General features: G+C 44.6%; 1 protein-coding gene across 10 annotated transcripts in view, besides 1 other annotated feature; it reads right to left on the minus strand.

The window, feature by feature from the left end:
• TRABD2B (TraB domain containing 2B) overlaps window positions 1–14,163 on the minus strand; it is a 236,858-nt gene that overhangs the window by 172,716 nt on the left and 49,979 nt on the right. The window lies entirely within an intron of this gene.
• Window positions 649–1,164: an enhancer, noted in NCBI's record as "H3K4me1 hESC enhancer chr1:48399564-48400079 (GRCh37/hg19 assembly coordinates)". NCBI's record gives its function as "activates a minimal SCP1, AML or CMV promoter by ChIP-STARR-seq in primed H9 embryonic stem cells {active_cell/tissue: H9 hESC(primed)}" and the evidence as "EXISTENCE:reporter gene assay evidence [ECO:0000049][PMID:30033119]".

Genomic DNA, 14,163 nt, shown 5'->3' on the forward strand with positions numbered 1-14,163 from the left:
TATAGGCACCCGCCACCACGCCTGGCTAATTTTTTTTTTTGTATTTTTTTAGTAGAGACGGGGTTTCAACATATTAGCCAGGATGATCTCGATCTCCTGACCTTGTGATCCACCCGCCTCAGCCTCCCAAAGTGCTGGGATTACAGGCGGGAGCTACCACACCCAACCTCTCCTGTCATTCTTTACCTTGCACTTTGTGCTTTGGCAGCAATGAGTTTCTGATAGTCTCACATATGAGACTATGAAACAACCACACTGCTGTTACTCAGCTTTATATCTTTGGGAATGCTCTCCTCTCTGCCGTGCTACCTAGAATGCCATTCTCCACTTTGATGTATATAAATAGCAGCTGAGACATTCCCCTCCAGAGAACCTTCTCTGACTCCCTCTAGTCCTATGTAGGTGCCCTTCCACTGGGGCTAAACTCTTGCACACACTGCTCTGTTGGTACACTGTGTGCCCCTGGAGAGACAGAACAGAGCTCCAATCATCTTTGTAACTACAGGGCTTGACACAGTGAGTATCTGCTGAACCAAACTTTTCCCAGATAGCAGATGAATCAGAGGGATAGACAGCACTGTCCAACAGAACTTTATGCAACAACAGAAATGTTCTGTGTCTGTGCTTTCCAATACAGTGATCACTCAACACAAGTTTGTGGTTATTGAGCCCTTGAAATGTGCTGGTGCAACTGAGAAACTGAATTTTTAATTTAATTTAGTTTAGGTTTAAATAGTCACAGATGGCTAAGGGTTGTTTTATTGGACAGCACAAGTTGGAGGGTAGAAAGAAGGGGTTGGGGAAAAGCTGATGTTATTAAACACTTAGTATGTGCTAGGCTTTTGACACTCTTTAGTATGTTAATCTTTACAATAATTCTGTGAGATGGCAAGCACTATTTTCCCATTTTAGACAAGGAAGTTGAACCTTAGAGAGAGAGTCAGTGACTTGCTGTGAGCCCTCAGCTTGGAGACTGCACAGCAGGTCCCTGACTCCCCAGTCTCTGGTTCATCCCACCACACTAGGCTGACCTCACACCTATGCAGGGCCTGGCCCTGGAGGTGCTTTGTGAAGGAGTCCTCCCCATTCCCACACCCCCTCCCACAGTCCCTGCAGGCACACAGGTCAGGCCCACAGCCCTGTCCTAGCTGGTAAGGCGCATTCTTCTGGCAGTGCTGCTGCATCACTCACAGACGTCTGGGGGCAGAGGCTGAGTGTGGTGAGGCAGGAGGCCTTGGCTGCCAGCGGGAGGGGCAGGCGGGCCCAGAGCCTGCTAGCATTCTGCTCCTTGGATCTCCCCTCGCGTGAGCAGCTTTGGGGAGTTCTCTTGGTGCTGTTGTAATTTATTGTTTCTGCTCTAATGATTGCTCCATGTCTGATTATAAATGCCTTCTGGCTGGGGGCCCAGACTCAGAAAATTCCCGTGATCTGCTTCCAAAGCTGATGGAGCCACAAATGGGACTGATGTCTCTGTTTCGTCATCGGCCACATTTACAAGGGAGGAGGATCCAAGGCCAGACACAGGGCTTAGAGTGGAGATGTAACAGGAGGCATCTGGTGACCTGGAATTCCCATCAGAGCCCCAACAGGGCATCTCCTGAGTCCTGGAGAACCTTCAAGATGGTACTCAAAAGAGCCTACTCCCTTCCTCTCAAAATGCAAGGCAGAGTCCGAGTTGGAAGCAGCAGGTGATACAGTCACAGTGAAAGGGGCCTCCGAAAAACACTGTCCAACCCTGCTAATGCCCTCTCTTTATCCACCTGGAAAATTCCTACTCATGCCTCAGGAGGCAGCTTTGGCATCCTGCAAGAAGCCTGCTCTGACACCCACAGCCTCCCACCCGCAGGTAGACAAGTAGTCTCTACTCCCTGTAAATCTCTTCTAGCATGGCACACCATAATCATAATTACACCTACTATTTACTGAGGGCTTCCTCTTTGCCAGGCACCATGTACCTTATCTATTTTTCACCTCATCCCTGGGAGAAAGGCACTATCCTTATCCACATTTGACAGACTAGGGAACAAAAGCTCAGAGAGGTTAAGGGAGTTGCTTAAGGTCAAACAACTGCCAAATAATGGAGCTGGACTTAAATTCAGAAGATTCCAACCCAAAATTTAAGCCTTACACCACATGTGTTCGCACCCGTCGTCACTGTATTGCAACAGGCTGTTTTGTCTCTTGCTTCATTAAAATAGAGCTTCTGGGGACATATCTGACCTCAATAACACGGGTACTCAGGAAATGACCACTGAGCAAACTTCACATAAAGAAAGTCCTAGTGCACTAAGTAGGTAATAAAATTAGGGCAGTCACTTATTACTGCCCTACTGCAGGATATTTAAGAGGACTCAAAAAAGCAATGGGCAAAGGCTTCAACAAGCAAGTAAGATAGGACTGCAGGAAAAAAACACTATATCTCAACTGGGACTGAAAAGTCCTGAATTTTCTAGGTTAGTCCTACTTTTAAATACCATATCTCATCAGTTCCTTATGTCACCAGAATGACCTAGAAACCCCAATATTTAGATATCTAAACTGTATCTCTTATATGATATTTCATGCCCACGCATCCCAAATATCCCACTATGTCTTGTAATTTAGGATGCAGGAAATAAAGCCACAGAAAAAAAGAGCTTCAACTTTAGAGGAAGGCAGACTCATGCTCAAATTCCAATTTTGCTGCTCATTAGCTGTGCAATCCTGGACAAACTGTTTCCCTTCTCTGAGACTCAAATGTAAAAATAGAGCTAAGAGCTGCTGCCTTGCAGGGCTGTTAAGCGTAGTAAACAGAAGAACATATGGGAAAGCACCCAGAATGGCACCTGGCACACAGGAGGGACTCAGGAACTATGAGGTCTCTCCTCTCTCTCAAATGAGGTCAGGCAAGAAAGCCATTCTTAGCAACAGACTCAGCTGAATGCAAAGGGTGTGATGTACTGGTGGACCAATGATCAAAGAGAAGAGATTGGTTTACTTGGGGCTGAGGTCATGAATTGACTTCTTCATCATTTATAGACTCACAATGAGTGTGGATGAAATAACAGGCCACCCTAAGAGCAGCCCTACATTAGGGCAGATGGAAAGAGATGGGTAAAATCTTGCCCCACTCCCAACTAGGAGCTCACAGGGTGCTGGAGCAGAAAAACAACAGGAAAGGTGAACAGAGAACCCAGCAGGTATGAGGGCAAAGGGCAGACAGACCATGAGGAGGTCTACCAAGCCTAGAGATGTCAGGAGAGGCTTGTGGAAGAGCTGAGTCTTGAGGAAGGGATAGAACTTCTAGGAAAGCGTATCTTCAGTTACAGAGGAGTGCTGTACAGACAAAGGAAAAGGCATAAAAAGGATAATAAGTTTTAAAAATTAGTTTGCCACTATATTTCGGATTTTGGAGGAAGCTTAAAAAAACCTATTGCACTCTCCTTGTTGTCAAAGGTATTCTGTTTCCTCCGCTTATGAGCTGCGTGATCTTGGCCAAGTTAATCATTCAATGCTTCAGTTTTCTCATCTGTAGAATAAGTATGATAACAGTACCTGCCACATTGGAATGTTCTATGGAATAAGTATGTGGAAACCATTTACAACACATTGATCAACAAATAAGAATCATCATCATCATCACCACCACCACCACCATCACCATCACTACCATCACCATCATGATCATCACCATCACCACCACCATAATTATCACCATCACCATCATCACCACCACCATCATGATCATCACCATCACCACCACCATCATGATCACCACCATCACCATCATCACCACTACCATGATCATCATCACCATCACCACCACCACCATCATTATCATCATTATCACCATCATCATCACCACTACCATGATCATCACCACCACCACCAGCATGATCATCACCATCACCATCATTACCACTACCATGATCATCACCATCACCACCACCACCATCATTATCATCATTATCACCATCATCATCACCACTACCATGATCATCACCATCACCACCACCACCATGATCATCACCATCACCATCATCATCACCACTACCATCATGATCATGACCATCACCACCACCATCATGATCATCACCATCACCACCACCATCATGATCATCATCATCACCACCACCGTCATGATCATCATCATCACCATCACCATCATAATCATCACCATCATCACTACTACCATCATGATCATCACCATCATCATCACTACTATCATCACCATCATCACCACCACTGTCACTATCATCACCATCATCATCACTATCATTGTCATCACCACCATCATCATCATTATTACAAATGAGAAAACTGAGGCCCAGAAAATGGAAGAGGTTTGTTCAGGGTGACTTAGAGAGTCAGAGGCAGGCCCTGACACTTTTACTTTTCTACCATTCACAGAATTTTTAGGAAAAAAAAAAACAAGCTTCCTGTCACAGGTAAGAGACCCAAGATCCTTGATAAAGGAGTAGGGTTCATGGAGGTGGGGCCACCCAATGTTTAAGTGAAGGTATTGTCTCTTAAGGCCAATCATTCTGCCTCCTGCCCTGTGGATGCAAACTGTCCTTCAGCTCATACCACCTGCAGCCAAGGACAGAGGGGAACATTCCAACCCCGATACCCAGGGAGATAAATCAAATGCTCCAGACTCAGTGAAGGATTGAAGCAGGGGCAGTGCACATGTCTGTCATGACTTCCTTGTTCCAAGAGGATATGGGAAAAAACTCCTAGCTCCCCACCTCAATCCCACAGTGGTCTCCAACAATATTATGATTCTCCAGTTCTACTACTCATGATATATTTTGCCAGCCGCAAATGGGGCCTAAATTACATATTGTAGCCACCAAACTTCCGGCACAGGCCCACAGAACAAGGCCTGAGGGAAATTAGATGAGGCCAAAGGGAACTCAGGCCTGGAAGAGACTAGAAAACAGAAAGGGATGTATAGTCCATTAGCAGGACCCTTCTCTCTTTTAAGTGTTATACAGGTGAGCGGGGTTCAACGCTGCAGGCACAGAGAGGCCACAGAAGGTGAAGGAAAGGAGAGCAGAGAGGCCAAGCAAGAGTAAACTCAGGATTAAAGAGTCAAACCACCACTGGTTATTTTAGTCCCAGCTCTATCTGTCTCTGGAGTATGGCCATCTACAAACCTTTTCACCTGTCCATCTGTTTTTCTGAAAACTATGGTCCTTTCTGTCTCAAGTCCTGGACTAAACATAGTGGTGGATAGGGAGGTAGGAAGCAGTGGTAGAAGGCATCTGCTCCAACCTGTCTTCTTTTTGGAAGCACTAGACACTGGGAAAATGCATCTTTCTCCTCTGCTTTGAGAATAGTGCATACTCCATGACTTTAGCTTACTAACAGCTGGAGGGATCCCAGAGGAATTCTTCTCTCTGGGATTGAGAATGGGAAATGGAGAAGAGAGATCTCCCACTTTCCTTTTACTGGAATCATGTGTCCCTGTCTAAAACGATGGTGTTGGACTGGATTCAGTTCAACTCCAGCAGGAAGCACACAACATTTGAGACCTGTGGGGTGAAGACAGTGCACACAGCCGGAGAGAAGGTCTTGGCTGAGAACCAGAGGACTCATTTCTTCTGGAAGCAGGGATTTGAGATAGTTTCTTGGCAGGAGGAGGATAAGAGGTTGACTTTAATGGGTTCTGAATCTCATACACAGAAAAGTAAGAGTGTGTGCATGAGACAGACAGAGACAGAGACAGAGACAGAGAGGGGCAGACTGACAGAGGGGTGTGAATTAGGAGGAAGAAACAGCTTAGGGAAAGATGAGTGGCATGCAGGAAAGAGCTTTCCAGGCTAGGGTGCCTGGGATAACGGTGATGAGGAAGAGAACGAGGATCACGGAGACCACATGGTGAGGAGCCTTGAATTCCTAATGCCAACCCCCCCACCCCCAGGATTCTGTAATTATCATTAATTAGTAAGTTCCACTTTCGATTAGGGTATGCAGGCAGAAGATGGGATTGAAAGCACAGGCAGAGAGTTTTGAAAGTTTTTGAGGTCAAAATCCAATAAAAGCCAACATGACAATGAAGAGAAGACATTCAATGAGCAGGCTGGTGCACACAGACCAGGATACCAGGATGGATGTTGTGATTTAAGTTAGAGAAGTTCTACTTTTAAATGTTATCATTAAATGATAAGAAGATTTTAAATGATAGTAGTAGTAATACTAAGAATAAAATAAGGTAGCAGTGAAGAACACTGATGAGAGCTTACAGTTATGCAGGATTGCCATTTGCCAGGTGCCATGTTCTCTGTTCTGTCTGAGTTCTCTTTTAGTCCTCTCAACAGCCCTATGAGACAGGGACACTGTAATCCCCTGGACAGAAAAATTACGGGAGCTTGAAGAGGTGGAGTTACTTGTCCTAATTCACCCAGCTCATGAGAAGCTGGGCTGGGAGTCTAACTCTGATACTAACCACAAGACTATTTCAGTGTCACTGTTACAGACAGGAAAACTGAAGCCTCCAGAGGACAAGTGACTTACTCAAGGTCACACAAGGAGTCCTCCTTTCCAAGTCCTTCATTCAAACATAAACTCAGAGCTTCCTAGGAACCAGGCTCTGTCTAGCTCAGGCCTCTGGTAACTTCTGGACTATTCCATAGCCTCCTTACTGGCCTTCCTGCCTCTAGCCTCTCCTTTCTAGTCCACCTCCCTCCCACACTGAATCCAGAGTGGTCCTTCTGAGATCCAAGCAAACCTTGCAGAGCTCCCAATGCCCCAGGAAACACTCTATCATGGAAGGCCCTTCACGATCTGGCTCCAACCGAATTTCCTAGCCTTCCGTTCCCCACCATCCCTGATGCACCCTTTATTAAGCTTCTCCCTGGCCCTGATCACCATGTGGTTTCCCACAGGGACTCTTGCTTACACCGTCTGCTCCTGTTTACAGTGCCCTTAGACCCCTTCTCTGTCCTATCCGTAAACTCTGACTCTTCAAGATGCAGCCTTGCTGAACCTCCCCTGGCTCCCAGGTAGAATGGATAATGCTTCCAGCACCCAGCACCCTGCAGAATTCTTGTGCAGCAGGATCACTCTCCTTGCTTCACAGGTAGCTGAGTAGTTACCTGTCTCCACCATCAGACTGTGAGCATCTCAAAAACAAGTCACTGTGTCCGACGATGGCGATGATGGAATTTGTTGGGGTGTACTATGGACAGGGACTATTATTATATAATACTTGAGAAAACTGAGGCGCAGAGACAGAGGAATGGCCCAAGTCCACACGCTCTAGGAAGAATCAAGCTGGAGCTGGTGCAGAAGTCACATGCCTGCCTGCTGTGTCACTACTGCTTCCTGGAGAGCTCTAGATGTGGCAGATGTGACTACACGTTCCCTCCCATGAACTGAAGATCAGTGGCTGCAGGGCCAGGACCCCACAGGCTTCCTGAGCCCCGCTACAGTGCTCTGTCCCCATCTGCCAGGGGGGCTTGCTGGACAGGACCTTGCCATCCAGCTTCGACCTGAGTCATCTCCTAAAGTCCAATAAAACCCAGGGACAGAGGCAGGATGCAGGAATAAAAATAAGCTTCAGCCAGAGAGAAATAAAGGCAGCAGTGTGGGGGAATCTCGAGAGCATGGCAGTCCAGGAATCCGGAGGGGAAAATGCCCATAATGGCGTATTTTCCAGCAGTGAAAAACATTAAGACCCACTTTAGAAATGTAGTTCTCACCACAGCTATTCCTGGACTCCAGCCCAGAAGAGCAGTAGGGCCATATGAATGACACTCTCCACCCACACTTACCCACTCCCGACTGGCTGGCTGTCTCTGTCCCAAAACATCTTGTGCTTCTTCCGTGCAGCCTTCCCAGACTTACCCCTCCTCCTTTCTCTCTGTGGCCAGAGGATGCCAGAGAAGAGCAGCACCTCTGAGACTCTCACCCTGGCCACTCCTCATCCTAACCAAGGAGAGGAGAGGGGACCTATTCAAGGTCCCAGAACCTCAGTGGTAGAGCCAAGATGAACACCAAGTTCCTTAGAGTAGAAGTCCCCAAGCTTCCGCTAGCCACACTGTGTCTCATTACCCTCCCCCGCCACCAGACCCCATCCTGATAAGCACACACGTGCATGTACACACACCCATGCACACACATACACATCTATGTGTACACATGAATATACACACAAACACACTTGTATGCACACACTCGCAGACATACATGTACACACATATACACATACTTGCACACACAAACACATAGATGTGTGCCCACTTACCCACAAAAATGCACCTGGTTCAAGAAAAAGTGAACTACATTGAGAACTGGGAAACCTGACTTCCAATTTACCTGGACACTGCCTAGCTATGTGAACCTGGCTAAGTCATTTCACAGTCTCAGTTCTCCATGTATAAACCAGGCTAGTAATCACCTTGCCTACCTCTCCAGGCTGTCTGTTACAAGGTTGAAAGGAGAGGTGTGAGAAGGTACTGATGAGCTACGCTCACTTGCCTCTGTCTCCTTGGAAGCTGATGGCTTGGAAGCTCAGAGGCCCAGCCACTTGGGTTTGAGTCCCTTCTCTGCCACATACTATCTGTGTGACCCTGGGCAAGTAAGTTCACCTCTCTGTGCTTCAGTTTCCTCATCTGCAAAAAAGGAATAATTATAGAACTTAGCCACCAGGTTTTAGTGTGAGGATTCAATGAATTAACACTTGTGAAGTTCTTGGAACAATGCCTGGGCTATTATAAGTGCCAATAAATGTTAGTCAATGGAATACCATTGTCAAATTAATACTTATTAACTTAGCTTTGCCTGGTGCAACACAGGAGTTCAGTAAATGTTTGTCTAATGAATGACTAAACACTATTGGAAGAGGAGGGTGATGCAATCAGATTTACTCACACCTGGTACTGGGAGTAAATCTGACTGCATTATGGTCTCTCTGAATTAGGTTCTGCCTTCCTCTTCCTTCTTTTGTTCTCAGACTCCCTGGTTCACCAGGGACACCAAGAGTCCCCAGTACCCCATTCAGGATGTCACGTTCTCTACCTATGGGTGAGCAAAAGCCTCCTGCCCTCTTTGGAAAATAAGCATGGCAGTTCCTAGGCTCATTGGCCCAGAGCATTTAAGCACTTAAGAGCAGAGCAGGGCCAGAGCTGGAAGTGGTTGGAACGGGGTGAAGGGGACGATCAGGGGAGGCAGTGGCTCCATAGCTGCAGTGTTTATACATTTGCAGTGTCCTGCTCCAGCAATCAGCAAGCACTACTCCAGACCAAGTAGGGTTCAGGCACTCTGCTGTTCCTCTGCATGACTCAAAGGAGATGTGGCTGCTGCTATGATGACACTCTCAGGACATCCCTCACCACCCACCTACTGCCCTCCTGATCAGAAGAAATCTCCCAGATCCCGAGGCTTGGATCAAAATAATGATGACTACTGCAACAACAATAATGTTAATGACAATAATTTTGCACATTTACCAGGTTCCAGGCAGGCATTACTTTAAACTCTTTATGCATATTAATTTATTTGATGCTTGTAACAACCTAGGAGGCAGATACTATTATTACACTTATTTTACAGTTGAAGTAACGGAAGCAGAGGAGGCTTAGGAACTTGCTCTACACAGGAAGACTGGTAGGGGCCTGAGCTGGGATTTGAATGAGGCTGGCAATGTGAGAGCTCATGCTTCTTACTTGCTATACCCAAGCATTTACTGATTCGTCATTTCTAAGTATTTTAGTTGTTACTGGATTTTTCTTTTCTATTTTGAAAGCCTAAACCCAAACGTACTTGAATCCAAAAGAAGAGCACAGGCTTTGAAGTCAGGGAACAGTGGGTTCAAAGTCCAATCATTTGGTTATTCTGAGCCTTTAGAAAAGTTTCTTCCTCTCTCTGAGCCTTGGTTCCCCAATTTAAAAAAATGGGGATAACACTGGTTACTCCAGAACGGGGTTCTGAAGATTCAACGAGGACACGCACACGCAATCCCCACTCAAGGACATGGCACATGACTAGTGTTTAATCCATGTTAGGGTCCTTCCATTTTTGGCACGAAATTTCACATGTGTGTGAAAGATGCCAATGTTCCCCCACAGGTAAACTGTAAAATGTAATTAATATCAAGTTATAAAGTGATTATTGAGCTTCTACGTCCCATTATTACAAGTCAATATTGTGCACTTTCAGCCTTCATGGAGAAAGGAGGTTGAAAAAAGCACAAATAATCTCAAACAAAAAACAAATGCAAGCTCATTTCATTGGTTCTACACCCTAATGCAAGACCTTAGTTCCACAAAGATCACAGAAATCAGAGTCCAATTCTTCATTACAGATGGGGAAACAGAGGTCCTTAGAAGGACAGGGTCATATATTCAGCTACTGGAAGAGACACCCCCACTCACGCTAGAACTTATTCTCCTGACTCCAGCCTGGTGTGCTGGCACCACAAGAGGAATGCACATTTGCAACCTCTGCCTCAAAAAAGCAAAACAAAAACACAATGTAGAAAATTTCACTGTCTCTCTCTTTTCCAACTATACGTGAGATGCATCCAGAAAACACACACACACACACACACACACACACACACACACACACACAGAACACAATGGAAAGAAACATCAGCTGCAATTTATGAGATATGCCTTCAAATAGAATTTACTGGAACTCAACCATGAGCATTTACCACACACCTACTGCCTGCCAGGCCCCATGCTTGTTGCTTTACACACATTATGTCTTCTAATCAATGCTGACAATAGTCATCTGAGATTCAGCCAGACACTCAACTAATCATTTCTGCAACCTAATATATGCTATGCACTGTCATGAGCAATAACCAGGGCCAGGGGCCATCAAGGGAGGCTTCCCAGACCTGAGGCTTGGCAAAGCCTTAAAGGAGGAAGCTACCTGGGGAATAAAGGATGATGCTGCAGGACACGGGAGTGCATGAGCCCAGGAATGGAGGGGCCACAGAACATGAAATTCTCAGGGGTGTGGAGAGAGGGAGCAGGGGGAATGGCAGAAGAGTTGGATCCAGCTAGGTCCTATGAAAAGAGAGCAACCTTGGCACTGAGCTGTGAATGGTGGGAACTCTGGATGGTGGTTCTCAAGAAATATTTGTTGAATGAATAAATAAATGTATGAATTCAGAGCCAGTGGAGAATGAAGTAAAGACCAATGGGAAAAAAGAAATAACCATTAGGAAGTGTCTCAGGGAACAGAAGCCAAGACAGAGTCAGAGGTGCAAGCAACTCACTGGGAGTAATGCTTACGAAAGGCAAAGGACAGAAGAAGCACAAGTAGGCAAGGAAAAAGTTGACTGTAGTGCAGGCCAGACATGGTGAAAAGAGCAGGTGGAGGAAGGAAGAAGGATCAGGTAGGAAGTGCTGCAGACTGAAGCCCCTCTACACATTTCTCAGCCTGCCCAACAAGAAGCTCCGGTGCAAAAATTGTCCATACAGGAGTTTGGGCAGAAATGGTCAGGCTTGACTGTTAGCTGGAAGTCTGCCACTTCTCTCTACTCCCTGGCAGCAGACTCTTCCCGAAGGCAGATGTAAGCAGCTCACGGACATGGCTACCACAGTAGAAGATGTGATAAGCAGGCTGATTCCAGAACACCAAGGAGGAAATAGCCAGCTCTGTCCTGGGCAAACTTCCCGGGAGGGAACATCTCAGAGGAGATTTGGAGGTTGAGAACAAACACTCATTAGATAGAAAAAAGGGGGCTACAATTCTTGGAGTAGAAAATGAACCCCCAAAGGCACTGATGCGGGGACAAGTCTGAAATGTGCTGCAGGACATGTAGTTCAGTGATTCTGGAGCTTAGGAAGGGCTGGGGAAGTTGGGGGTGGGTGGGGAACAGATCTCCAAGGGCTGTGTATGCCACGGGACTGATTCAGACTTCACGGCCCAGGCAATGGGGAGCTCTGAAAGAAGGAGTTGTGTGTGCATTTCTGTTTTAGATCTCTGTAGCAGCACTTGGAGATAGTGAAAGGGCAGGAAGGCAGGGAAGCAATGTTGCCATGTTCCAGGGAGACGATGAGCCCCCAGGCACATCTTGGATTGGACATGGATGTAGCCGTAGCTCTGAGCTCTGAAACTAGTCTAAGGGAAAGAGGCTTCAGGAAGGATTTTACCAGGTCCAACAAACATTTGCATGCTTTCTGCCTGTGTTACAGACCTTAAAGCTTTACTAGCCTGCTCTCAGAGCTTTCATGGTTTTCATTATTAAAAAATAATTTACATATAATAAATGCACCTTTTTTTGGTGTATGGTTCTGTGAGTTTTGATGAACATGTACAGTCATGTAACCACCCAAATTGAGATATAAAACAGTTCCAACACTCCAAAGAATTCGTGTCCCTCTGTAGTAAACCCTCCCTCCTCCTCAGTCCCTGACAATCACTGATGTTTTCTGTCTCTATAGTTTTTCCTTTTCCAGAATGTCATATAAATGAATCATTTTTCGGTCTGACTTCTTTTCATTCAGCACCATGCATTTGAGATTCATCAATGTTGGGCCTGTATCAGTAGTTTTTTTCCTTTTGTTGCTGAGCAGTATTTCATTATTTGGATACACCACAGTGTGTTGTATTGTCTCCCCAGTTTAGGGATATTTGGGTTGTTTAAATTTGGGGTAGCTACAAAGAAAGCCACTATAAACATTTCTGTGTGAACAGAGGTTTTGATTTCACTTGGTTAAATACCTGCAAGTGGGATTTCTGGATGTGGTAAGTGTATGTTTAATGTTATAAAAACTGCAAAACTGATTTCCAGAGTGGTTGTACCATTTTGCATTCCCAGCCACAATGTACAAGATTTGTAATAGCTCCTTAATCTCATCAACCCTTGCTATTATCGGTTTTAATTGTAGCCACTGGATTAACTGTACTGTAGTACTCCACTGTACTTTTACTTTGCATTTTTCTAATGACTAAACATGTTAAGCATCTTTTATTATGGTACTTACTTGCCATTCATATATCTTCTTTTGAGAAGTGTTCAAATCTTTTGCTTATTTAAAAAATTGTATTTGTTTTCTTATCATTTAGTTTTGAGCATTCTTTATATATTCTAAAGACAAGTTCTTTATCAGATATGTAATTTGCTTTGTCTCTGATCTTAGGGGAAAGTATTTTATTTTCACCATTATATATGATATTGCTTGTAGGTTTTTTGTAAATGTTCTTTATCAGATAAAGTTCTCTTCTAGTCCTAGTTTACTGAGAGTTTTTATCATGAGCAATATTGAATTTTGTCAAAGGCCTTTTCTGCATCTAATGAGATGATCATATGGGTTTTTCTTCTTTAGTCTACTGATTTAAGAAATTACATTGATTGATTTTTGAACATTAAACCAGCCTTGTATTCCCAGGATAATTCCTGGGTCATATTGTATTATCCTTTTTATATTTTGCTGGATTTGAATGACTAATAATTTTGTTGAGAGTTTTTGCATCAATTTAATGACACAAGGGGTTTTGGTCTATAGTTCTCTTATAATTTCTTGGCCTTGTTTTGGTATCAGGATAGTCCTGGCCTTATAAAGCTGGGAAGTGAGTTAGGAAGTGTTCCCTCCTCTACCCTCTCAAAATTTTATATTTTGTCCTTTCACTATTCTTTGTAGTCTTTTTCATCTGTGTTACTAGTTTTGCTAATTCAGTTTGCTTCAGAGACTCAATTGTGCTACACACAATAGCTCAAGGTGATGAAAAAAGACAAGTAAGACTAGGTTTTTTTTTTTTCCATATGGAGGTAAAGAGAAATAATAATAATAGGTACCTACCCTTTATTGAGCTCCTGGTCTTTTCCATGCATTTTACTCATATGAACACCAAACCTTTGTTGCAACCCTGTTATGCCAGCTTTAAGCATTTTAAGGATGAGAAAGTTTAGGCTTAGAAGAGGGAAGTAGCCTGTCTAAAGTCACATTATTCTCAAAAGCAAGAGCTGTGGTTTGAAGCCTGGTTCAAAGCTTATGTTCTTCCCACCTTATTTTGTCATCTCTACTAATGCTTATGAACACCTACTAAGTGCCATCTATTTTAAATCTTTTATTTCTTGTCACTGTTAATCACTGCAACTTTATGAGATTTGTGCTACTTTCTCCCACGTTAACAGCAAGGAAATTAAGATTCAGAAAGGCCAAGGACCTCACCCAAGGTTGGTCAACACTGTTAGGCACCAAACACCCAGGAGTGATG

The sequence above is a fragment of the Homo sapiens genome, chromosome 1, assembly GCF_000001405.40.
Source record: "Homo sapiens chromosome 1, GRCh38.p14 Primary Assembly".
In the NCBI taxonomy this organism is placed as follows: Eukaryota; Metazoa; Chordata; class Mammalia; order Primates; family Hominidae; genus Homo; species Homo sapiens.